We start from the raw sequence: 27909 nt of genomic DNA on the forward strand, positions 1-27909 counted from the left end.
GAAATGATTGGTATTGCGACTATTAAACTACTAGCATCCCTCGCTGAATTTCTTAGTGCATGGTTCTCTGTGTCTTGAGACTTTCTTAGGAATTATATTTTATGATCAACAAATAACTACTATGAATGATTTCAGTGGGACAGAAAACAGATAATTTTCTTCAAGTAAAGAAATTTTAAAACTAATAGAATATGAAGAAAATAATGCATGTTAGTCATTTATTAATTCATGCTCATCAACAACATAGATTCGTCTCATCTCATATGTAAGTAAACACCTAGTTGACTTTACAAAAATTATGTGTAGAGTATGAATTTCTTGAACCAACACAGGTGAACAAATGGTTAGCACTCCTTTGACCTAAAATTGAACTTTTTGTTTTTTTGAGATGGAGTCTTGCTCTGTGGCCCAGGCTGGAGTACAGTGGCGAGATCTCGGCTCACTGCAAATTCTCTCTCCCAGGTTCAAGCAATTCTCCTGCCTCAGCCTCCCAAGTGGCTGGGATTACAGGCACCCACCACCAAACCTGGCTAATTTTTGTATTTTTAGTAGAGACGGGGTTTCACCATGTTGGCCAGGCTGGTCTCAAACTCCTGACCTCAGGTGATCCGCCCGCCTCAGCCTCCCAAAATGCTTGCATTATAGGCATGACCCACCTGGCCCGGCCAGATTGAACTTTTAAATTATTTATTTATTTTGAGACAGGGTCTCACCCTGTAGCCCAGAATGGAATGTGATAGTGCCATCATAGCTCACACACCCCTGCAGCCCCAACCTCCTGGGCCCAAGCAGTCCTCCCACCTCACCCTACCAAGTAGCTGGGACAATGGGTGCATACCGCCATGCCCAGATAATTTTTATAATTTTTTTTGCCAGTTGCAGTGGCTCATGCCTGTAATCCCAGCACCTTGGGAGGCCGAGTCGGGCAGATAACCTAAGGTCAGGAGTTTGAGACCAGCCTGGCTAACATGGTGAAACCCCGTCTCTACTAAAAATACAAAAATTAGCCGAGTATGTTGGCAGGGGCCTGTAATCCCAGCTACTCAGGAGGCTGAGGCAGGAGAATCGCTTGAACCCAGGAGGCAGAGGTTGCAGTGAGCCGAGATCACACCATTGCACTCCAGCCTGAGTGACGAGAGTGAGGCTCTGTCTCAAAAAAAATAAAAAAAATAAAAAATTTGTACAGATGTGGTCTCCATATGTTGCCCAGGCTGGTCTCAAACTCCTGGGCTGAAGTGATCCTCCTGCCTCAGCTTCCTAAAGTGCTGTGATGACAGGTATAAGCCACCACACCCAGCCCTAACATTGAATTTTTGATATATATAGACTGAAACTTGTAAGTGTTGAGAGGTTCTCTTCATGTAGGGAACTCACCAGGCAGGCAGTGGTGAAATGAACAAATTAAAGTTATAACATTTTGTTTGTAGTCACTAGATGATTTGTCAACAATGCAAGGTTGTGACTGTGATCTTTATTTTAAATGTAAGAACACTAAAAATGAGGTAGAGTTCAATTATTTGCTCAAGACCTAATACTAGAAAAGGATGGAGTTAAGAATTATCACTGTATTTCTGTCCAAAGCCTTGTCTTTCCACCATATCACACTACCTTCCTGAAGGTTTATTTCCAATTATGCTATGATACTATACACAAACATCGATATTATTAATATATTATTAATAATATATATCATTAATATTATTAATATTAATATAATATATTAATATATAATATATATAATTATTATATATAATATATATTTATAAATTATAATATATATTTAGTGACTTTCCCCCTCATTTAAATTTCTTACTGAAAATGTAGAAGAAGGAAAAGGGGAGGAGGAGGAAATTATTTAACTAGAATAAATTACTGGGATCAACAACATTTTCCGGAGTGCAAAGGTTCTCATTGTCTAGTTTTCTAGAGCCTAGATGTGTTACCTATTTGTTTTAGAAATGAGATGTCTCTTTGATGACATACACATAAATTATAATTATATATTTTTGAAAGGCTTTCACAAAAATAGTTAAGAAAATAAAAATATAGCTGTCTTTAAGCAATTAGCTTCATTTATTCTAATATAAATGAGCTCCTTCCTTAACAATACTGTCTTCTTGGAAAAGTTTTCCCAAACATGAACATAGTTCTGTCAGTTTTTAAATCTGCAAAAGGCATAGTACAAGCAATCAAGTTACTCATGCTTAGTTCAGATGTTAGTAAAAAATACCTTTTTATACTCTGGGCAACAATTAAAGATACAAGACAAGGTAGATATATTCCTTTAACTCAAAATCCTTCCCCATTGTTTTGAATATTAATTCCAAGATTATCTATCTCCATCAATAGTTCTTTGGAGTGGCTAAACCAAGTTCATGTATAAGGGAGAAAATTTTAAAGTTTTGGAAAACAAAGTATAAATATTTGAAATGTGATGATTTTAATATGAATTGTGTTCACTACTAAGAAAAGAAAGATATTTTCATTGTCGTGGGTCTTTTCTTCTAAGTTTACCAAGAATAAAATAAGATGATTCACTGCTTCACTTCAAGACATTATTAAAGATTTTAGCATTCCTTATATGGAGAGATATTAGCACATATTTTACATTTCAACTGACTTCATTTGCAATAGGCCATGCAGTGACTGAAAGTAAAATTAAGACCTTAATGCCAGTTATTACCGCTTTTTATTGGTTTTATTCTAGATCTACACATGCATTATGCAATTTTTAAAAAATGAAAATACAGTTAGGTACATAAAAAGCCCACAATCTTAGAAACAAAGACTATTAAAACAGACAAGTACAAGAATTGCTTGGAATACCTGGTTTTAAATCCCCATGGACAAATATGTCAATCATATATCGACAGAATGCATACTGATCTGACAGAGTAGAAAGAAAAAGAGCAATGAAAAAATGTCATCAACACTTCATTTTTCTACAGAGAAATAATTTAACAAAGCAAACAAAATAGCACAATTCTATTTTGGTTACTACAATATTTTCTGTAAAAAAAATAATTTGCACTTATATGAAAATACAGAAGGAAAGAAAGACGACAAATATAATGCTTCATTTCTTCCATACAAAAATAACCTCAAAAATTGAAAAGGACTAGTTCAGGGTAATCTTATAGTGGTTGTTTTCAAAATAAAAACCTATTTTGTCAAATAATTGATTACAAAAGTCATCATATTAAAGCAATTTTTCCCATTTGTCATTTTATAAACTTTCAATAATGAAACAGAAGTTTCACAAGAGGAAATTGTTTCCAACTTGGAGTGTTTTATCAAATACTCAGTTCCAGCCCTTCTGCTAATTGTCTCTATGGAGCAGCAGAATGTCTTTTCCAAAAGACTATCAGGAGAACTAACCTCTTTGCAACCTGTTAGGTGGCCTCTGAATAAAAATGCTCTTTAATTGGGAGAGTAAATCAAGAACAGAGTAACAGAACCAAATGATATTGTTGTTAAACTAATCAAATGAGTAATCTTCTTAAGATCATCTTATGATCTTGACTAGTTTATGGCCTATGGTGAAAGTAAACAAACAAACAAAAAAAACATAGTATGTAAACATCATTTTGGGCAGACCTGGTCTTCAGGAGTTGGTTTTTTTTCTATTCCCTCTAGATTAAAGACATTGCACTTAACTTTAAATCCTCACAGAACTTTAGATTCTCCTGAGGTCAATCCAACTCAAAGCTCAATTGATGAATCTTTACCGTATCTGCTTTAAAGCATACATATTATGAAATAATTTACATTTCAATATTCCTGAAATATGCATTTTATTAATCCACCAAATCCGAAGGCAGCTTTAGGACCAAGAGAGTTTATTGAATTTAAGCAACATGTTACATTCTTAATTGCTCCAAATTATGCATATCAAACATATGAAATAACAAAGCTTGTTACTAAACAGATACACCTCTAAGGATTTTTGTAAATCTCGTTCTTTTTAGAGTAGTAACAGCATTTTTAGAGGAATCCATTTTATTATGAAATTCTGTTAGGTCTTTAAAAAATAAATATAGTTATTGAAGAAGATATAAAAATATAATCTTTTTCATTAATACCTAAATAAGGGCAGGCCAAAACTCATAAAGTTCCAAAAATTTAGATGTATTTTAGTTGTTGAAATTGGAGCACATTTTCCCACAGGAGAGGTAGGGAATGGGAAGGAGGCTAGTCCTCAGGTCATTCCATGCATTGATTTGCCCTTTGATGTACTGGCAGTAATAGCTGGAGTTTCTGATCCCAGGACCTGGGAACCCTATGATTGGGAAAGACATAAGGTTAAGGTAGAAGGTATTTTCTCTTTTCTAGACATGAGATTGTTTTCCTGAACAAAACTGTAGAACTGGCAATTTGACTCTAAGACAAAGCAAGATGAAAAAGTACATTTCCCTTAAATGAAAAGTTTGAAGTCAGACCAGTGTGGACTTTCTGAAATCGGCAGTATGTTCCCTTTATTTCAGTACCTTAAGTGACTGTACTCTTTTTAGATTTGTTCTGCCTATACTCTAGGAGTAGTTCTCAAAGGGCAACTTAAACACGAGAAAGAGAGAGGAGTTGTCAAAATACAGATTTTTGGGCTCCATCATCCAAAAAAAATTAAAATGCCATGGATCTGGACCCTAGGAATATGCATTTTATACAAACTCCTTAGATGAATCTAATTAGACTGCATTTACAGAATCACTGATCTAAAACCTTTCATTCCTTTTTCCCAAAATAATTACTCTTAGAGGCACTATAGACTCCCATGACAGCAAATAAGAGTGTTTGTTTTTATGTATGTTGGAAGTTTAGAATGCAGGGAGTATTTTTAATATAACATCCCCTCCAAATGAAATATTATCTGCCCCATGTTGTGATGGGATAGTTATATACATAACATGTTGAAGAGTGTACTGAATTAATTAAAATCTTCACGCTTCAGAGAGTCTTCTTTAGCTGAATGCTGACAATGTAATGAAACTTTTCAGCTTGTATGTTGAAATATTATCAAAGTACAGTCAGCCCTCCATTTCCCTGGGTTCCACATTGGAGCATTCAACAAACCACACGCCTGTAATCCCAGAACTTTCGGAGGCTGAGGCGGGAGGATCATTTGAGGTCAGGAGTTCAAGGCCAGCCTAGCCAGCATAGTGAAACCCCATCTCTACTAAAACTACAAAAATTAGCTGGGCATGGTGGAGGGCACCTGTAATCCCAGCTACTCCGGAGGCTGAGGCAGGAGAACTGCTTGAACCCGGGAGGCAGAGGTTGCAGTGAGCTGAGATTGTGCCACTGCACTCCAGCCTGGGCAACATAGTGAGATTCTGGCTCAAAAAAAAAAAAAAAAATATATATATATATATATATATATAGTTACAGCTACCATGGTTGGGTCTGTACTGAACATATACAGACTTTTTTTCCTTATCATTATTTACTAAACAATACAGTATAACCAGTATTTACAAAGCATTTATTAAATACATTAGGTAGTATTGGTAATCTAGAGATGATTTAATGTATACAAGAGGATGTGTATAGGTTATATGCAAATATTAGTCCCTTTTATATAAAAGACTTGAACATCTGTGGATTTTGGTACCTGCAGGGAATCCTGAAACCTATCCCCCACAGATACTGTGGGACAACTGTACCTTACTTATATTTCTTATATTTCCTAGATCCAAAAATCATTCATTTAATTAATACACCAACAGCCCAATGAACTTCTAATTGCAAAAAGGAAATTTCTTATGAATTCAGAGGATGTTTTTTAACTTAGAAAATTATTTGTTACAACACTTAGAAGGTTTTGTTATATGTAAATAGTGCTGTGATCTTGTATTCTAATGGCACCAATATATCAATAGGAATATGAGAAAGATGTTTTTATTCCTATCAAAGCTGATAGGAATTTTCAAATATTTTAAGTTAGGATGCCCATTTCCACCTGTCCTTGGCAATGACCTTAACAACGTATAAGAATTCTAGGTAGGTATGTGTTGGGAAGTCTCCAGTTTATCTGCTTAACCTATCTAAGAATACAGAAAAACCAAGCCTTCCTGATTTTGAAAGATTTGTGTTCTAAAAATGTTTCTTTAAACCCAACTTAAATATTATAGCAGAAAATTTTTCACAAAGAAAATCTAAATTGTCCTGCCATTCTAACTTTCATAGTTCTGAGATAATAATTTATATAATGTTAATTTGCTCATCATTGTAAGTACTTTTTCCCCAAATAAACATCCTTCTTGGAATAACACATGCTGTCCATTTCTCTCCTTCTTGATTCTCAGGAAGCAGTGATAGATGTCATTCAAATGATACCTAGTTGGTGTTCCCTGTGGAATAGTAACAAAGGGAAAATACATTCTGGGTGCAGAATGTCAAGAACAACAAAAAATTTTTAAGAAACCTGTAATGAGGATGGGGCACATGTGGTCCAGTACTCTATAACAGATTCACATTAGCTATACTTTCTCTGCCTGCCACAAATATCAAATAGTTGTTTTAAAAGAAAGAATGAGTGAAGGAGCAAAGTGTGTGGCAGCTGGAAAATTCGTTTCTCCTTCCCCACAGACCTCCTAGAGGTCATCAGAAAACTAGGGAGCAATGTCTGACTATGCCAACTCTTCCTACTCTACAAACAGATTTAGATGGGTTCATAAAAACTAGATTATTTGATGGGTGTGTGTGTGTGTCTGTGTGTGTGTGTGTGTTTATGGTAGGTGTGTATATACATATGCATCTTATCCCTAATGCTTTAAGCAGAAAAAGAGATGTATTATTTCCATATACAATATTGAGAGTAACTACATTGAATATATTCATATGTATACTATGTAATTAAATAATTACTAATAAATATGTGTCCCATGTGAAAATCTGTTTCCAAGTGAGTAAAGGACCTATGAGCCTTATTTCTTTAAAAAGAAGTATTTAGAAATCTATATGAAAAGAATGCCTCAAACATATTAGGTCTAACTTAACTATGTGAATGAGTATTCTCTTGCCCAAAAAGCTAACTCAACAGTTAGCTTAGTTGAGCTAACTCAACTAAGTCATCATATAAAATTTTCAAAACCAAAGCCTCAGAAATTAAAAAAAACTATATCTTTATCTTGCTTAGCTAAAATCATAATGTAATTAGTTTTCTTTAATTTAAAAATGCTCTTAATTAAATCTTTGCTTAGTAACAAAAAATGAAAAATAAAATGACATATTTATATGTCTGATCTGCCATTAGAGGTTAAGTTTTGAATACTTACCTAATGATACATTTATATAATTGATGGCAATTGTTCTCAATACTGAGACTTGCTTTAGCAATTGCAATTGTTTAGCTGATAAAATCACATTTGTGCTTTTGTTTTAAACTCTAAATGATATTTGAATGTCCTTTTAATAGATAAATAACTCTTTGTGTAGAAATAAAAATAGTAGACTGAAAAGGGATATGGTAATATAATGCTGTCTTTAATAAATCTGATTACTGATAGAAATGAAATACAATATTTGTGGCCTGGAAAATAAACATTATTTTAAAGTGTTCCGGTGATGAGTTTTTATCAATAAAATGTGGCTCCCAAATCCCCAAAGATATGAAAAATTAACATCAAAAAATACATTCACATTCCTAGTTGTTAGATAAGTATTTTGACATTTCCAAATATAACTGGCATCAATTTTTACACTCTGTATTTATGGTTAAAAATTAGAATGTACTTTGTAGGTTTTCACTGATTTCATGTGATTATTTTTCTTTTTGAACAGCAATCTAAAGTGTAAAGGATTTCAGGATCTAAGTAATCATACCAGTGAATCCAAAGATTATTTCTGCTGTTTTTTTACCACAGTAAAATATTATATTCAACGTATTTTCTCTTTACTTACTTCATCCTTTTTGTCTACCAAAATATTTCATTAATGACATAATTTTGATGGAAGTAATAATTAACTTTTAAATTTTTTTCATGGTGATATAATCACCTTGAAAATTGGAAAAAGTTTTAGAGCTCCTAAGTTTTAATATGACTTATATCTTAAAATAATAAATTAAAATTATCTAAATTTAAAGGTTTGTAGATCACTAAAAAAAGAAAAAATCTTTCCTTTTTAAAATATATATTTTTAAAATATGTATCTTTTGTCATATAAATCAGAGTTGACAAATACTACATGTGAATCAAAGTTTACAAATGCAAATTCAAGAGAAAAAAGATGAAAATACAGTACGAGTGCATTGCAAATTTCATTTCTTGTGCCTTATGAGGAAAAATTAATTTCAGTTTCATCCTCCAAATAGCCTGCTCTGTAATAAAATTGTAAGATTTCTTAAACTAAAATCTAATAGAAACCAATTCTTTGATACAGTCCTTAGATAACATTAGTCAAAAGTGCTACAAAGTAAAGAAAAATTTGGTTTTGCAATGTCTCCAAGAAACACCAATTACAGGAATAGTCTCTACATGTTAGATCCCCGTATTCTGTAAAGGAGTCTCAGGATTATACAGCAAACTGGAGTCAGGAATGGACTTAGGAAAAGAAACATTCAATAAGGGCCAGAGATGTGGTACGATAAGACCCTTAGTTGCCCTCCTAAACCTTCAGCTCTGTATATTCACATAGCAACCTTCCATAAAATAAAAATTCAGGTTTATATGCCACCTCCATTGAAGTGATATATTTTTGCAAAGTGGGGATGTAAGTTTGACATCACTCTTGCTGAAGAATGGCGAAATATGTCACATTCAGAGCTTTCTAAAGTTAGAAATTTAGTCAATGGAAACTGAAAAAGAAACTTGAGAACTGTCTTCTCTATAACATCTTGCCTATTAAATAAATTTAATAATTGGATGTATATTCTAAATGATGTGCTCTTGCCAATGCAACAGTAATGTATGGATAGTTTTTATGATATTTACTCTATATGATTCCAACATGTACCCCTTCACAAACTCCTTAGGAATTGCTGTCATTTTGGGGGACCACTTTCCTCCAAAGAGTATGACACATACAATCTTTATTCCACCTCTTAATAGACATTCCATATCTCAAAAATTCAACATTTATCCCCAATCTTTATATGATTTCGGATGCTACCTCCAAACCCCTTTTAAAAATACTTCAAAATGCCCCTTTAGATCTGTGAACACATTTTAGTATTTTTATAAATAAATATTAATTCCCAATTTACTGTATTTCTTTTCTGATATATTTACTTTAATGTCTTTTACCCCCATTTGAAGTCTGATTTTGGTCTTTTTCAACTTTTAATTTCACTGCATGTGCTTCTTGCCCAATATTCTCTTAGAACCTCCGGCAGCCTCCTGCTCTGAATGTTTACCTTTCTGTTCATGCTTTGACACAGCTGCTTTCTCTTTGTCCTCCTTTTCTTTGGGTTTTGATGGTGTTTTCTGTACTTCTTTTACTTTTGCAGCTGTTTGCTTCACTTTCTCCTGTTTTCCACCTTTCACTTCCTTTTTAGTCTTTTCTTCACTCTTTTCTGCAGTCTTAGCTTTCTTCTGTTCTGTATAAAGTTAAAAGATGTTGAAATACTTTTGTTTATTTACAAACATAATGTTTCATCTGTACTATGTCATTAAGGAAAATTGGAAAAGAAAGAGGGAAGAAAGGTAAGTCACAAGTGTTTATGTTAAGAACAGTATTTTTCAGGAAAACAATGAAAAATACTGTTCTTAACATAAACACTTGTGACTTACCAGAGTTTTATACAGTTTATGAAGTGCTATATTAGATAGACTACTAAAAGTGTTATGGCTTTTAATTTGTACATGAAAACACTATTTTTTAAGGCAATAGTAACTTAGCATGTCAACAAGGAGGCATTTGTAGCATGCAGGGGATGGATGTACAGGAATTTCTGTGAAAGACAATTTCCATACCAAACAGCCCAGTGAAGTAGTCTCCTTTTATAAGCACATGATCATTTTGCTTGATAACTGAAAGATCTTAAGGGTCATTCAAGAAACTGAAATGCCAACAAAGTCTTTTTTAAAGACAACAATTAGTAATGCAAGTGTAAAATTATCGCATTGGTGTTGACTAACAGAAATAAAACAATGAAATCCATTAGAAGATAACTGAAAGACCTATAGTCTAATGATTTGGCCTTAGAAAAACTGAAAGTGAAGAAATTCAGATATTGGCTCCTGTTTATCTTAAGTCAGCGATAATTCTACTAGTTTTTAAAGCCCTTAAACATATCATGGGAAATTCAAAGGGCTATAAATAAAAATATATATGAATAGATATATAAATTAGAACATATATATATTACACACATATATTCTTAATTTGATATTATCCGTATTTTGGAAGAGGGAACTGTGATGCAAATAACTAGTCTGTGGATCATTCAAGCATCTTTTAAAAAGCAGTAATAATGTAGCACATAATTTGTGGAAAATTGTTCATAATAGATGCTGAATATTGGACATTCCTTTTTGTATGTGACTACACATAACCACTATACACCACAGCAACTCTACTGCAATGTTGGAATCCTCTATGTCATTTGCTAATGCACTGTGTAGCCTTTATTGTCACTCATGTTAAAGAATTTGATGAAGGCCGGGCATGGCGGCTCATGCCTGTAATCCCAGCACTTTGGGAGACCAAGGCGGGCGGGTCATGAGGTCAGCAGATCAAGACCATCCTGGCTAACAGGGTGAAACCCCATCTCTACTAAAAATGCAAAAATTAGCTGGGCGTGGTGGTGCATGCCTGTAATCCCAGCTACTCAGGAGGCTGAGGCAGGAGAATCATTTGAACCAGGGAAGCGGAGGTTGCAGTGAGCCGAGATTGCGCCATTGCACCACAACTTGGGCAACAAGAGCAAAACTCTGTCTCAAAAAAAAAAAAAAAAAAAAAAAAAAGAATTTAATGAAAAAATGTAATCAAGTTTCTTGACTTTGGTACCCTAAATGATGATTTCAGGCTAAGCCAAGATAATATCAGAAGGTCCCATTGAGAGAATGAAAATGATAATGCCAGATGCTGGTTAGCTTGCAAACCAAAAATCATCTGTGGTATCGCACTTAATTGACTACGCCAGCACTTCCCAAAACACTGTTTCTCAGATACTTCAGATATTTACAGGAAGATGTTGATACTGTATTAGGTATTGGAGAATATTCTCATGGCCAAATTCATTTGGCAACAATAAGCTAACCTGGTCATTTAGCTTGGACTTTCTCAAAGCTGAAGTGTATTGAGAATTTTTAAGAAGGGGAATTATGATACACACATTATTCAATATTGTTTAATCATAAAATTCTCATACAAATATTACTCAATTACTCTATAAACTTTTTTTTTTTTTTGAGATGAAGTCTTGCTTTGTCATCCAGGCTGTAGTGCAGTGGCACGATCTCGGCTCACTGCAACCTCTGCCTCTCAGTTTCAAGGAATTCTCCTGCCTCAGCCTCCCAAGTAGCTGGGATTACACGCGCCTATCACCAAGCCCAGTTAATTTTGTATTGTTAGTAGAGATGGGGTTTCACATGTCCATAAACTTTCAACATCTTTGTGGCTTCTGTAACTACACTCAGGGGATTTTCTTCTTCCTATAAATCATTTCTAAACCTCCTTTGCTGGTTTCTGCTCTTTCCTGCAGTAAACTCATATGTTTCTGTGACTGAAACCAGCAGCTTTCTGCGGATGACTTTAAATTGAAATCATTCCAGAATTCCACACTGGAATGTTTATTAGTGTCTGTCTGGAAAGAAAGTTTCACTGGAGTGGTCAACAGCACCTCAATCTCATGCAACTCATTCACCTAAAAAACACTTCTAGAGAGTCTATGTTGACCTGGGCTCACAGCTAGTTGCTGGAGCTCTAAAAATCAGCATAATAATAAAACTACCTGAATAAATTTTAGCACAGCAAAATTAAAACCGTGCAATATCTGGCTTCCTCCTATCTCCCATGTTACAGCACTTTTCCAAAAATTTATTCCTCTACTGGACTGCTTTCTTTCTTTTGAATATTTTATGTATTTTTCCATGTGTCAACTGTTGTCAGACTGCATTCTCTATATTTTCTATATTTTTCCACATATTTAAATTTCTTTATTTCTTTTTTATTTATTTTTGTCTTTTTGTTTTTTTGTTTAGATAGACTCTTGGCTCTGTTGCCAGGCTGGAGTGCAATGGTGCAATCTTGGCTCACTGCAACCTCTGCCTCCCGGGTTCAAGCAATTCTCCTGCATCAGCCTCCCGAGTAGCTGGGATTTCAGGTGTGCACCACCAACATCAGCTAATTTTTGTATTTTTAGTAGAGATGGGGTTTCACCATGTTGGCCAGGCTGGTCTTGAACTCCTGACCTCAGGCGATCCACCCGCCTCGGCCTCCCAAAGTGCTGGGATTAAATTTCTTCATGGTCAATTCACATGCAAAAAAATGGCTCTCCCATTTGAATTAATAATGTCTTCCCATGAGCTTCCATTTTTCTGAATTTTTATTAAATTATACATTTTATTCTTTATTATATATCTTGAAATATAGATAGTTTGATCTATCTGTCTTCCCTACCAGACAGACAGTGCTTAGGGGCAGGAATTCTATTATTATTTTTGTATCACCATAGTGTCTAGCACAATGCTTCTTTCAGAGAAAACAGAGGATAAATGTATACTGGATTAGCAATTTTGATGGAGAGAGTAAATATTCCACTATACTCAGATCATATGTATAATATAGTGATATAGAGACTGCATTATGTAAATATGTGTTTAGAAATAAACTTGTCTAAACCTGTTAAACTTGCCAACTTTTTTTTTTGTTTATACTAATTTGTATGAAATTGTTATATTTGCTTACTCTAAATGACAGCTATCTACTCCTTGTAAGTTACAGTTGATTTAACCTTAACTTTATAGTATGGAACTATAGATGTGTGAAATTCAGATTTCTTTTTAATGCCATTATAATTTATAAGTGGGCAATGATTATTTTCTAAGAGGTAGAACCACATATATAGCCAACTCATTATAATCATTGACTTTAAGTATAAAAATAATAAAATATTTTCTACTATTTTAGACACTCTTCAATCACATTCACTCTGGAAATAGATAACTTTGCCTCATAGTAGAAAAAAATGAGTGACAACTAAACAATGATGTGGCTATAATAAAGAAAATATCATGAAACTAAAGCAACACCCAACTTCTATTTACTTTTGAGTACACATTCTTCAATTTTGTGCCAAAATATTTTTCCTGATTTTTCCCTAAAATAATTTAAGTGACGAAATTTATTAAGGAATGAAAAAAACAAAAAGTATTGCCATGGGTATTCAAATCACCCAGTTTTATTTAGGAAGGCATTTTATTCATGACTTTTGTCAAATGGAAAACAAAATGGCCTAATCAAAAAAAATGACATCAGCATATTTGATTCAATCTTGGAATTAGCGTGATCCATTAGCTACTGCATCAGATTCAGAATGTCTGATGCCAAAGTATTAAATAGAATAGTATCCCTCAAGAAACATACTACACATGTTGGGAGTTAGAAAATAACAAATTTTCTCTCTCATTCCATAAAGAACTGCAAACTGCTTAACTTTTTTCTCTGCTTCAGTTTCTTTGCGTTAAAAAAAAAGAATCGCCACTGTAACTGCCTCTTCCTCTATGGAAGCTGTGGAGATGAGTAACACTGAGCAAAATAACTTTGAATTCTGCAAAATAAGTATGTAAACATTTCTAATATTATATCTGCATAATCTGCATGTCTAGAGCTCTTGGAGTTTCCCTAGAACTTATCCACAGTTTAATGTACAGCAGGAATTACTATTTCATTATTATTTTACATTTGAAAAATCTAAGTATCAAAAAGCCATTTATCAAAGATGGTGCAACTAAATGAGTTAGGAGTAGAAAGAGTAGAATCAGAATGACTAACCCAATTTCTAATCACAGTGAATTGCACACGTATTAATATTAACCTAAAAAGATGATACAAAAACTGTATTTTAAGACATATAAGGGCAGATATAAATATACATGAACCATGTGAAAGCGATAAAATGTCTTCCTGAAAGTGACCAAGGCAGCAATAACCTCTGCCACATCATCAAACACACAGACATCTGAAGGTCACACTGACATCCACATCAATTAGACAGCCTGGCCCAAACTTGGCTCACCTCACTCAACTTCTCTTTTCATCATTGTTTTCTTCTTTTTCTTCTACCTTGTCTCTGTTGTTTTTAATGAACTACAGAAATAGGCTAGATTTCTCAGTGGATATGGGGTCCTACATATGTATCAAGGTAGACATTAAAGGTCTACTCTTCCCCAGGAGGAATCCCTGAAGTGTTCTAACCAATGGCTGCCTTTCAGCAAGCAGTATGCAACAGAGCAAGAAACATGCTGTGTTCTATGCAAGTGCCTCCAGAAATCACAGCTCTTCAAAGGGAGATTCTACTTTAACTGGTCACACCTTTCAAAGATACTTTATGATATTTTCTATCTTTAATGTCACATAGAAGGCTTATGACTTTTTATCTTATTTTGTTTTACCAGAAACCACCTATTACATAAAGAACACTTTCTATTAATTTCTTATAATAACATAATACATACACATATAAAATAAAAATAAAAAGCATATACTGTATACAAACATGTATACACATATACACATACATATATATGTTTTAAACAGACACATATATACATATGCATACATATATACACACATATATATGTTTTAAACAGGCACATATATACTTATGCATACATATATATACACACATATATATGTATGTTTGTGTGTGTATGTGTATGTGTGTGTGTGCACCTCCCCCAGAAGAATGACGTAAATATTTAAATGGAAAGTATTTATGGCAAGCAGACTCAAGATGGCTCCCAGTGACTCCCAACTTGTGGCATTCATATCCTTGTGCAATCATCTTCCCTTCAATATGGGTTGCCCTAGGAATTTGCAGCTAACCCATAGTGTATACTAAAGGTGATTGAATATGACTTCCATGATTAGTCTAGATAAGATTGTAATTTCTGTCTTCCTGTTTCTCTCTCAATAGGTTTAATGAAGCCAGCTGTCATGTTGATGAGACTCATGTGTCAAGGAACTGAAGATGGTCCATAGCCAACAGCCAGCCAGGAACTGATTGGCTAGTAGTCCTTGAGGAACTGAATCTCACCAACAACCATATAGTGAACTTGCAAATGGTGCTTCCTCAGTTGAAACTAAAGATGAGACTGAAGTCCTAGTTAACACTTTGTTTGCCACCTTGTAAGATTGTGAAACAGAGGCCTGAGCTAAGCCATGCCCAGATTCTTGATCCACAGAAACTGTGAGATAATAAATGTGCATTGATTTAAGCCTCAGATTTTGTGGTAATGCTTTACAAAGCAATAAGTAACTAATGCAGTATTCAACAAATTTTTTGAAAAAAAAAAGATGCTTGAAGACCTGTATTTAATTATTTTTGTGAAGAATACTCAATGTATACTGACTGCACCTGGGTTTTTAGTCTTAACCAAATCATATACCAGTTTTATGACCTGGCAAAAATGTTTTTCTCTCTCTCTAGAGGTCACTTTCTTCATCTGTTAAACGAGGTAATTAATTTAGATGATCTTTAAAATGTCCACTAGATTTCATACATCTATCACATATGATTTCATGTATATGTAATGAAAACAAATTTTATATATATACAAAATTTATTTTCACTTGCATTTATGAAACAGGAGAAACAAAATAAAATTACATTTATTTATTTTAATTTAATCTTGAAAGTAAATTCATGTTATCTTCTAAAAATGTTTCAGTTTACAATTCATCCATATTAACTTTAATAAAATGATATTTGGTTATCTAACGGAAGATTTATTGAAAATATATCTGCTTCAAATATCTCATTATTTTACATTTAGTAGCTAAACTAAATCTTAAAAATGCTTCTGAGTTTTACCTAAATGGGTAGTTTCTTAAAAATACTGAATTGAGGCTTCTAGCTAATTGCCTAAAATGTATATTTTAAAAGATAAGGAAGAAATTTAAATGTAGGGAATAAGATTAAATTACCAAATAAAATCCATTTTTTCTAGTAATTGGCAGATAAATTTAATACAGAAAAACTTTGTTATTCAATATGCCAAAATATCTAATATTAAAGTGATATACTAATAAATATATTTGGCATATTATTATGGTACTTTCAGTTCTCAAACTTTTAAAGTAAAAATATTGATCAAGATTTATGCATGACCACTTTTTTTTTTTTTTTTTTATTTAGACAGTCTCACTCTGTTGCCCAGGCCGGAGTGCAGTGGCGCAATCTCAGCTCACTGCAACCTCTGCGTCCAGGTTTCAAGGTATTCTCCTGTCTCAGCCTTCTGAGTAGCTGGGATTACAAGTGTGTGCCACCACACCTGGCTAATTTTTTAATTTTTACTAGAGACAGGATTTCACCATGTTGTCCAGGCTGGTTTTGAATTCCTGACCTCAAGTGATTCACCGGCCTCGGCCTCCCAGAGTGCTGGTATTACAGAGGTGAGCCACTGTGCCCAGCCAATTATTTCTTTTTGATGCAAGAAAATCATTTATGGTGCAGAAGTTGTCTATTTGTCTATTTTTGCTTTGGTTACCTATGCTTTTGAGGTCTTACTCAAGAAATCTTTGTCCATACCAATGTCCTAAAGTGTTTCCCCAATGTTTTCTTCAAGTAGTTTCATAGTTTCAGGTCTTACGTTTAAGTCTTTAATTCAGTTTGATTTGATTTTTGTATATGGTGAGAGATAGAGGTCTAGTTTCATTCTTCTACATATACAGTTTTCCTAGTAAAATTTATTGAAGAGACTGTCCTTTCCTCAATATATGTTATTGGTGCTCAGTAGCAAAATAGAATGACTATAGTTAACAATAATTTATTGTATATTTTAAAATAACTAGAGAGTGAATTTGGAATGTTCCCAATGCAAAGAAATAATAAATGTTTGAGGTGATGGACATCCCAATTACCCTGATTTGATCATTATATATTATATGCTTGTATCAAAACATCACATGTACCCCATAAATATGTACAACAACTATGTACCTATAAATATTGAAAATAAATAATTTTTTAAAAAGAAAATTCTGAATTTGAGATTTTAAAATCAAATTCAAGGTATAATACTGGTCAAAAATTGTGAACCAAATATGTTATTTTAGTTTTTTTATTGCTGTGGTAACAAATTAAAACAAACTTAGCCACTTAAAATAACACCCATTTATTATCTTCCAGTTTTTATGATTCCAAAGTGTTGGCTCAGCATGGCTCTACTGAATTCTCTGCTTAGGGCCCACGAGGCTGAAATCAAGTTGTCACCTAGGCTTTGTGTTTTACTAGAGGCTAGAGGAAAGAATTGGCTTTAATGCTTATTGAACTTGGAGGCAGAATTCATATTCTTCTCACGTTTTCAAGACAGCCAATGGGCAAAAGTACTCATACTTCAAATCTCTTTGTTCTCTGCTGAATCTGTCTACATTTAAAGACTCATGATATTACATTGAGCCCACCTGGATAATCCAGGATAACCTCCCTATTTTAGAACAATCTTCACTGCCTCTGCAATTTTTTTTTTTTTTTTGCCATGTAATATAACATAGCCATAGGGATGACACCAAGGGGTGAATGAGGGTTATGGGGCTCAAAATTCTGTCTACCACATATGATGGAGCTCTTCATTTTCCTCTCACATTATGAGATTCTCTATTAAGTGTTCAGTTTAATTATTCTTTTAGATATTAAATTTTAAAGGTAAGACCAAATTAACTTTTTAATATAAATGATAAAAGTTTACAAATATCCAACTATCTGTTACCCAAAAATTAATCTTTCAGAGTAAAAAGAATTTAGTTATGGAAATAATAAATTGAAAAGTTACCTTTCGCCAGTGTCTTTGTTTCTGGTTTTTCTTTTTTCTCAATTTTTTCCTTGTGAGTTGCTTAAACAGAAAATTTTACATTAGTACACATTTTTAATAGATTTCAAAACCAAGCTTTCTTTTGACCTCAGTTTCATAAGTGCTAAAACCTAATCTGTAATATTTTGAAAATGTATGACATTAATAAGTCTAATTCAGAAATAAAGAGTTACCAGTGTAATAACAGTTGTATTGAATTCAATGTTAAAGTCTAGGCATTAAGACTTAGCAAGCTTGTTGAAAATCAGATCTACTCTTTCTCAAGTCATTATTTCAAACAGGTAAAGCTTTCAGGGAAGACAAACTGAAAGGGAAAATTTTCTATAAGAATTTGTCAAAAAATATGTCATTATGTGTATTTTTAAATTTGAATTATATTAAATTGTGTTGTTTGGTAGTTTCCCAAATCATCATACATTTTTCAATATTTACATACTATTTTTTCAAGAATAACAATGGTAATTAAACTACGAAAATTAAGTAGTAAAATATGAGATTTAATTGGGCAGTTAACAAAGTGTATGCACTGATTTGTTAGAGGAAAAAATTAGTTCCACATATTTCCATTTCTCCTACTTCCAACAAGAATAGTAATAATGTACATCAGCTTTACTTACATCATTAAGAAATGCTTAAAATATGTATTTAAAAATCCATTATTTTTAAATACAGTTGATAAACAGTGTCCTCCAGAATCTTGGAGAGATGATTTAAGCCTCAGAAAGCCTAATATTCAGTTGAAGAGCAAGTGTCCCTAACACATGCAGAGCTGCTGAGAGACCAGGTGCCTCCTCCTCCAGAGTTTCAGCCTCTCCACCACTCAGGCCTGCCCACAGGTACCTCCACTACCACTTGGGATTATGGGTAATAGATTAGACAATGTTAACAAAAGGAGCATTATGCTAGGCTAAGCAAGGCACTATTCAAACAAGGTCACAGGACTACATTATAATAACATATCTCCTAAAAAGCAAACATCCTTTAATTGGCATAAGGTAAATAAAAGAGCACTTACAATGCAGCATTTTATTTCTGCTTTTCAATTTGAATACATTTTTTTCTGCAGCACTTATAATTTAAGGGCAAAAATTCCTAACTTTTTTTTTAACAGAAAACATTTAGCTACTGTAAAGTTTGGAAAAAAAATCACAAGAAATAGCAGATTATTTCATTGAGTCAGAATACACAGAGCCTAGTGCTAATAATTCTGCTTAACCCAATATCAGACAAGAAATGGTTACCTATTTCTAGAACAGAGAAAGGAGATGGCTATATTGAAGTTCATGGAAATTGAACATGAAGAAAATAAGATAAGAAAATAAGAAAATAAACATGAAGAAAATAACAATTATTTAACTGAAATTTTCTTTTTTTTCTGTAGGTTATTGGGGTCCAGGTGGTATTTGGTTACATGAGTAAGCTTTTTAGTGGTGATTGGTGAGATTTTGGTATTTTCAAGTGTAAATATACCATAAAAAATATTGAAGCATATTTCAACTTATCTGATTCCTAAATGTCATAATGTGTTCTACCTAACTGGAGTGTTTAACAAAACAAAAAACTTCAGCAGACTATGCATACTCTGGATGCATAAATCAGCTGAAATCTGGCCCAGCTATCCTAGACACAATCCACCCTAAAACAATGGCAAAAATTAAGTTAGAATCTTACTTCGTATCATACACTGAGATGGATTTTTGAGGAATTAAAGTTAAATTTAAAATGTGAAACAATCTTTTTTGGATGGGTGCTGTGGCTCACACCTGTAATCCCAGCACTTTGGGAGGCTGAGGTGAGCAGATCACTTGAGTTCAGGAGTATGAGACCAGCCTGGCCAACATGGCAAAAACCCATCTCTACTAAAAACACAAAAATTAGCTGGGTGTGGTGGCACATGTCTGTAGTTCTCATGCTGAGGCATGAGAATCTCTTGAACCCCAGAGGCAGAGGTTGCAGTGAGCCAAGATTGCACCACTGCACTTCAGTCTGGGTGGCAGAGTGAGACTCTGTCTCAAAACAAAAAAACAATCTTTTTTAAACTTGAGGAAAATATTGGTGGCTATTGAATTAATTCTTGAATGAAGATTCAAAGCCAGAAAGACCACAAGAAAATGTCAGCATATCTAACCACCTAAAAATTCAAGAATCTAAACATATGCACACATGCATACATACATACATGAACTCACACATGTCCGTTCACAAAGACAGAAAGCATAATATTAACTGTGAAACAAATTCAGAAAAATATTTGAAAATAAGTTATAGATGAAGGGTATACATACCCAAAACACACACACACACACACACACACACACACACATATCATTAGGAGAAATGGGCAGTGAGTGTGAACAGTTACACATGATATATACATTGCTAAAAACCATATTTGAATCTTTCAACTTATAAATAGTAAGCAGTTAAAAATACTTTGCAGAGACATGGATGAAGCTGGAAGCCATCATTCTCAGCAAACTAACACAGGAACAGAAAACCAAACACTGCATGTTCTCACTCATAAGTGGGAGTGAACAATGAGAACACATGGACTCGGGGGTAACATCACACACTGGGGCTTGTCAGGGGTTTGGGGGCAAGGGGAGGGAGAGCATTAGGACAAATACCTAATGCACGCAAGGCTTAAAACCTAGATGACAGGTTGATAGGTGCAGCAAACCACCATGGCACATGTATACCTATGTAACAAACCTGGACATGTATCCCAGAACTTAAAGTAAAATTTAAAAAAAAGAAAGAAAAACTAAGAAAACATGACACCTTCAAAGGAACACAATAACACGCCAGTAACAGGCCTCCAAAAAAGGGAAATCTATGAAATGCCTTTCAAAATAATAATCTTAAGGAAACTCAGAGAGAAAAAAAGAGAACACAAATAAAAAATACAAAGGAAGGAGAAAAATAATTCATGATCTGAATGTGAAATTCAGTAAAGAGATAGATATCATAAGAAAGACCCAAACAGAAATCCTAGAAATGAAGAACTTAATGAATAAAATAAAAATTAAATTAACTTTAACAATTAACTAGATTATCAGGAAAAAATACAGTGGAAGAACATTCTCATTTAAACACTATGCAGCTTTTTAAAGAGAATGAGGACAATATTTAGTGATATGAGAAGATTTCAGGATATATTGTTAAATTGTAAAAGTCAGATTATAGGACATACTAGATTTTGTGTAAAAATAGGGAGGAAAATAACATGGATTATCTGGAAAACATACAATAAAGCTCTGGAAGGATGCATGTAAAATTCACATGAGTGGTCTACTGTATGTGGGTTTGGCATGAAATGGGAGCCAGTAGGCTGGGAGCAAGGTGAGAGGAAGGTTTTCACAAAGTATCTTTATGTGTTGAGCAATTAGAACTTATTATCTATTCTACATAAATAAATAACAATTAGAAATTAAAGCAATCTAATAGATAATCAAAATATGCAAGTTATAATAATGAGATCTACTTTCTTACCTATCAAACTGACAAGTATTTCTGATATAATATCCTCACTGCTGGCTAAGGCAGTCTCAAAACTGCCAGAGGAAAAACTGACGCAACATTTCTGGAAAGTTACCACTTTCCAGTTCAACAGTTCTTAACAGTCTGAAGTATTTTATTTCTCTCAATCCAGAAATTCCTTTTTTCAGATTCTATTCTGAGAAAATAATCCTAATCTAATTTGTAAAACTGCGTGGTCATCTAAAATCTGAATGTAAAGAGTAGGAAGTCAATGGGAAAGGACTCAGTGTGTTAAACAGTAATAAAAGTAACTTCATACCTTTCTTTTCAGGTTTTTCTTTTTCTCTTACTTTTTCTTTTCCTTTTTCTTTTTCTTTGTGTGTAACTGAAAAGAAACAGATAAATAGTTTTCATTTAAATAACAGGAATAAATGAGGAGATGTTTGCACGGCAGTCTTTGATGTCAAAATTTATCTTCTGTTTTTAGAAATCTTTCTTTAACTGGATTCAGATTTTATGTAGTTAGAGGTTTAAACTTCAAGATAATTACAGATTTATTTCCTATTTCTATTTTATTTCATATCCAAGCACAAACTAGTACCCAAACCAAGTCTGATTGCAAAGATAAGAATACCCCCGTCAGCTTTTCCAAATCTTTAATTGAAATAATTGGAAAATTTTAAAAAATTATTATGCCATATGCCAAAGGAGCCCGGCTTTGATATTGGATGAATGCTTGAAATATGAGGATGAAAATATAGAGACATAATTTTCTGATCTTGAAGCAAAGAACTATCAACTTAAACAGTATGTGTTAATCGTCTACAGAAACATTCTACACTAAATGTTTTAAAAAATATACTGGAATAAGACTATAAAATACCAAATCTTTCCAACAAAAATAAAATTTAATTTAATATGAGCAGTGATCTCATCAATTATTACAACAGGACTAAAATTTAAGTCATAATCTTACCCCATACCTTAGTCATAATTCTTATTCATTATCCATGCTAGAAACATGAGACTCATCCCAATTTGTCTTTCTCTTATATTTTTCCTTTTCATTCATTCACCACGCTCTTTCAATCATGTCTTTTTGATATTCCTCTTCCTCATTTTCTTTTATCCAATATTATTTTCCCTAACTATCATTTATTTATACAAGAATATAGAAAGAACACTTGCTATGTGCTAAAGACTCTCCTCAACAAGATAGAGTTCATTCCTGTCGCCATGATGTCAATAAGCTAATGACTAGTGGATGCTAAGCAAATAATTACAAAGGTGGGTAACTGCAGGGAGTCGAACTGCTATGAAGAAAATATGTAAGGTGGAATGTTGATGTATGAAATGACCTAATCTAATCTGTTTGTTAGGGGAAGAGCCCTTGGCAGAAATGACATTTAAGAGTATGAGAAATGAGAAGAAATTAGCCTAGTAAGAGATTAGGAGGGAAAAGGGGAAGAGACCAATTTCCAGTTCAGAAGTTGAAGCAGGATGTCTCTTTTGGGCATATTATTATACCTATCATAATATTATAATACCCTGACTTCTCTTTTGAACCTTTAGATTTTATATTTTTATGTCTCATATTAACCTTTCTAACATGAAAATTCGATATCATTGACTCCTCTGTTACAAATATTAGTGCCTCCTCACTGCTTAGTATGGTATCTGTCACATAGTGGGTGCTATATCAAAATAAAAATATTTTACTGCTCTAGTGATCTGACATTTTCTTACCAACCCCATGTTTACCAACCCAATGTCATCTACAAAGAATTTCTCCTTGAACTTTATATTCTCATTATAACTAAATGCTAGTAGCTCCACAAGCACACCACATGCCCTCATGATGCCTTTATGTCTCTGCCTGTATGTGTCTTCCACCTAGAATTACCACACCCACATTCATTCGTTTTCCTTTCCCTATTCCATGCACTCTTTCCTCTTGGTTCAAATGCCTCCTTCTCTGTAACATTTTCTTTGATCTCTATTTATTCCATTCACCAATTGCACCATGTACATAATTATATTTCAGCAATTCAATAATAATATTGATATTGTTAATATCTCTACTCAGTAAATGAAATCCTTAGGGGCTACATCATATTTATTTTATTTTTTTACATTTCCAAGTCATCACAAGGTCTCAGTCACATAGTGGACTCTGTAATATTTTTGAATAAGTGAAATTCTAAAATATGTTAAGAGCTAGTTTTATCGTCTAGTTAAATTCTATTTATGGATGATGATGTGGTAGAGCTATAATAGACACTGCTTGCTTCCAATTATGTGAAACTTTTGACAATTTATTGAAATTTCTCAAATAATCAAAACCTAATGAGAAAAAGGAGAAAAAAACTCACCTTAAAACATTGAGATATTATTTTTTTCCACATTTAATGGTTCTTTTAGTTGTTTATTCGCTACTCAGTTCAATATAAATAGCTCACAAAATAAGGCAAGGAAATCACTATTCATACTGACCACAAATGGTTTATTTTGGTTCCTTTGAATCCCTATTAATTAAGCAGAAAACCAAGAGAAAATCTTGGCAAAAACAAAGCGTCTTTTAAAGTTTCTCTGAGGGGGAACCAAGTTTGTGTGAGATAAGCTGTGCTTTCAGAGCCCTGATTGGAAAGACCCACAGGGGAACACCTAATCTGTGTCTCTGTCTCTGTAAGGAATGAGGACTCACCCACCTTGGACAGCTGGTTGTCCATTCCACTAAAGGATTTTCAGATTGACGTGTGCAAAGGCATAAATGGGAGAATTAACACAAAATCAAAAGAGCAAAGGGACTGAATTCGGACTGAAATTAGCATATTAATGCCTCATTCCTGTTACCCTAGGGAGAAATCCAGTTCCTCCCAGTTGAAGTGTTGATTTACAGACCCTGTACTGTATGCTAGCATTTTATTATCCCCCTCAGAAATGGCATCACAACACTTCTTAGTGAAGCAGCTGGACCCTTGGGCCCTAGGGAGCTGTTCATAATGGCAGACAGCCACTGAAGCTCCTTGGACAGAAACTTCAAACTTTGGCAAGACTGTGCTCAAATACCAAGTTTTGAAATGACTTTCAACACAGCAATGCAACAATCAGCAACTGCCTTGGTAATCACTCTAAAATAAAAATCACCTATAGAGCAGCTGCATTCGCTTGAGCGTCTCTGCTTAGAGCCCACAACCAGGAGTTTTCATATGGAAGAAGAGTACCTCCTTGTCACCAGCCCTATTTGGCAAGTTATATCTTAGCCAGGACAGTTTTTAGCTCAGGACAGAATAAGCTTCTTGCACCTGCTAGAGTTTAATTTGTTTGTCATCCTTATTTACAAGAAACAAAAGTCCCTTCGGTATGCTGATAATTAAAAACAAATGGAATCCACCAGTTGGAATGGCCCTGATGTCTGGCATCTGAGTTGGCATGGGCCTGCTGTTCCTGCCCTTGCCCAGACTCTGACCTTTCCCTGACCAGAACATTCAGCTCAACTGGACCCAAGCACATCTCTCACCCTCCCATCTGGCCCCTTTCCAGCCCTCCCCAAGCTGTGCTCTGTGTTTTTGTTTTTGACCCTGGCAGTCACCAGGCAGACTATGTCTTTTTCTCAAGTATATCAGAGCTCATAATCTGCCTGACCCTGTGGTTTTTTTTTTTTTTTTTTAAACAGGGAAAACACTCCCTTGGGGTCAAATCATGGGAGCCAGGTTATCAGAGTTCTTTACTTAATCGTCCTGTTCTTAGGTTGAAAATCAAAAATTGTAATGCCAAAATTTGTAAAGTACTGATTTGTATAGGCTACTACATTCTTCAATTGATGGCTAGCAAATCAATTCAACCAAACTCTAGAACATACTTGACTTTAGACTACTGCATAGGACTAATCTTGAGTACCCAACCAAAAAAAAAAAATCAGATGGATAATCAGGTAAGCATTATATCTTTTCATTATTAACAGAAAAAATCTTTGAGGAGCATCATTACCTGTAATAAATTTTACTGATTTTTCTTTTAACTAATTCCTCTCATTTTCACATTTCTTGTGCTTTTTTGTTAGGTATTAGTGCTAAAATACTCTATAGACTTTAAGTAGGTGAACATTTCAAACAGCTTCATAAAATTCATATATATCTATATTTTAATTTGTAATGTTTTATGAAAGAGCATGATACACATTCATTTTAAACCCTTAAAAAAATTCTGTTTCAGCCACCATTAAACAATAAGGCCAGATCTCTTGGTTAGTGTGTATGTCTTTGTGTGTATGTTTCTTTTTTATTTTTGGTAGCTAATTTGTAGAAGTTCAGTTCTGTGGTAAGGCAAGATGATCTCTATGCTTTTTAAGAGAAAATCATGAACTTAATAGAAATGCAATATTGAGTTAAAAATCTTCTTAAATATTATATTATCCATTTTTCCTAAAGGAAGAATTTATTATTTTAACTTTAATATAAGCATGCAATTTCAGAGCTGATAGGAATATAAGAAGTAACTACCCTGAACTTCTTTGTCTGTGGATAAGAAAATATGCTCATAAGAGTCCGTGACAGACCAGGAAAAGAATGTAGTTATCTAATTGCTAAACCAGGACTCTCCTTCAAAACTACGCAGCCATGTCTGTTCCAGGTTCTGTGCAGACTATAAACTTGTTCTCATAAGCCAAAATGTGCTGACCGAATTCTCCAAGCACATTATCTGTGATCTACCTTCCAATAATGCACATACTTCTTTTTCATAATAAAAGTACTTTCATTTACCTATTAAAGTGAAGATCAGGCAAATTACCCAAAGTTGTAAAGCTAATCTGATACTTACGCGTTAAATCACAAAAGATATTTTATAATTCTAAAATATTAGTTTTATTTTCAAATTCAATTTAAATGTATGGACAATTTCCCCTTCTCCTGGGGCTACATAGCCATAGTAAGAACTGTAATCGCTTTCTCATAAGTGAACATTCACTATGGACACTGTGATGCATAGCTTTGTGCACACTCTTCTGGTTTCCTTGTCCAGGTTTATTTTTCATGATTGCCAGAGAGGGAAAGAAAATATATTTTGTACTTTAAGGAGTTAATGAAGTGCAGCTAAGAGAAGACAAAAATAAAAGTTTATACAGTACAGGAAGACTAAATGAATTTGTGGGCTTTAAGAGCATTTTTATAAAGGGCTTCAGGATATTTAAATATATTTTAATGTATTTGATTGCATTTTGACTTTTGAGCCTCACCATCAGCTAAATCCCTTGTCAGCCTATGACTCCAATCCTGCAATTGTTTCCCAAAAACTGAAGGAGTTCTAGACAAATCAGTGTTATTATTCTGAATCACCCTTTTTAAAAACAATCCTTTGTTTTTTGTGCATATGATATTGTTATGGGTTGAATTGTGTCTCCCCAAAAATATATGTTGAAGTCATTAGCCCCAGAGCCTAAGAATGTGACTTTATTTGGAAATAAGGTTTTTACAGAGACAATCCAAGTTTAAGTCATGAGGCTAGTCCCTAATCCAATAGGACTGATGTCCTTATAAAAAGAGAAATTTGGGTCCAGAGAAGGATATGCACAGAGGGAATGCATATCCTGTGAAAAGACAGAGACACAGGGAGAGCATCATTTGAAGATGAAGGCAGGAATTGGAGAACTTCATCTACAAGGCCCCAAAGCTTGCCCGCAAACCTCCAGAGGCCAGGAGAGAGGCATGGAACAGATTCTTCGTCACAGCCCTCAGAAAAAAACTCATCCTGTGGAAACCTTGACTTTGGACTTCCAGCCTCAATAAGGTAATATTAAGGCTAATGTTAAGAATAATAGTAATAATTAGACTTCTGTTGCAGCCCTTGAACCAAGTTCCCACCTGGTTCCCTGAGGACTGATGTCAGCTTAGCTTTTGTGTCTTCCCTGTTAAGCTTCAGAGTCCACACCTGAACCAAAAACCACTAATTCCTCTGAGGTCCTTCCAGAAAACTGCAGACAGACTTACTCAACAACTGAGGTTGCCAAACCCCAAACTACATCTCTCCTCGAGGACATCTCTGTGAAGTACTTACTACACGTGGTATAATTGTGTATTTACTTTTTCAAATTTATCATTAACTGGATCTTATTCATCATGGAATTTGTAGTGCCCAGTATGGTGTTTGGCACAAAGTAGGTACTGTGAATAAGTGAATGTGTATTATCACCTAGTGGCTGTGACCACTTTTTCCATTTACACTATCTGCCTGCCAGAATACACCCTATTCCCGCTGTCTAGCCCACTCTGAAGCTGACCATATGCTGTCTCTCCAGTATACATTTCTGTTAAGTAAACTTCTCCATTTCTGAGGTCACTTTTTCACCCAACCACCTGACAATACAGGTGGATGTAGCAGAAACCTACTGTTCTGCCGCCTACCGGGCCATCCTATTGTCTAGGAGCCTTCTTGGAAAAAGTTCACATATTTAGTT

General features: G+C 34.1%; 1 protein-coding gene and 1 long non-coding RNA gene across 6 annotated transcripts in view; one reads left to right on the top strand and one right to left on the bottom strand.

Annotated features, from left to right (window-relative positions):
- TRDN (triadin) overlaps positions 1 to 27909 on the bottom strand; it is a 420612-nt gene that overhangs the window by 278028 nt on the left and 114675 nt on the right. For 2 of the 5 annotated variants that reach the window (NM_006073.4, NM_001251987.2), the window contains exons 6-9: positions 21775 to 21840; positions 17937 to 17996; positions 9353 to 9535; positions 2827 to 2886 (exon numbers count right to left, since the gene is read on the bottom strand). In NM_006073.4, the coding sequence (NP_006064.2) occupies positions 2827 to 2886; positions 9353 to 9535; positions 17937 to 17996; positions 21775 to 21840 (369 nt within the window). Of the gene's footprint in view, positions 1 to 2826; positions 2887 to 7461; positions 9536 to 17936; positions 17997 to 21774; positions 21841 to 27909 lie in introns of those variants that run through there. The other 3 variants (NM_001407315.1, NM_001256020.2, NM_001256021.2) reach the window with 2 other exon arrangements.
- LOC105377982 (uncharacterized) overlaps positions 25053 to 27909 on the top strand; it is a 51063-nt gene continuing 48206 nt past the window's right edge. The window contains exon 1 of the long non-coding RNA XR_001743833.2: positions 25053 to 27242. This is a non-coding gene — a long non-coding RNA (uncharacterized LOC105377982). The remainder of the gene's footprint in view (positions 27243 to 27909) is intronic.

Source organism: Homo sapiens, chromosome 6, assembly GCF_000001405.40.
Source record: "Homo sapiens chromosome 6, GRCh38.p14 Primary Assembly".
Taxonomy (NCBI): domain Eukaryota; kingdom Metazoa; phylum Chordata; class Mammalia; order Primates; family Hominidae; genus Homo; species Homo sapiens.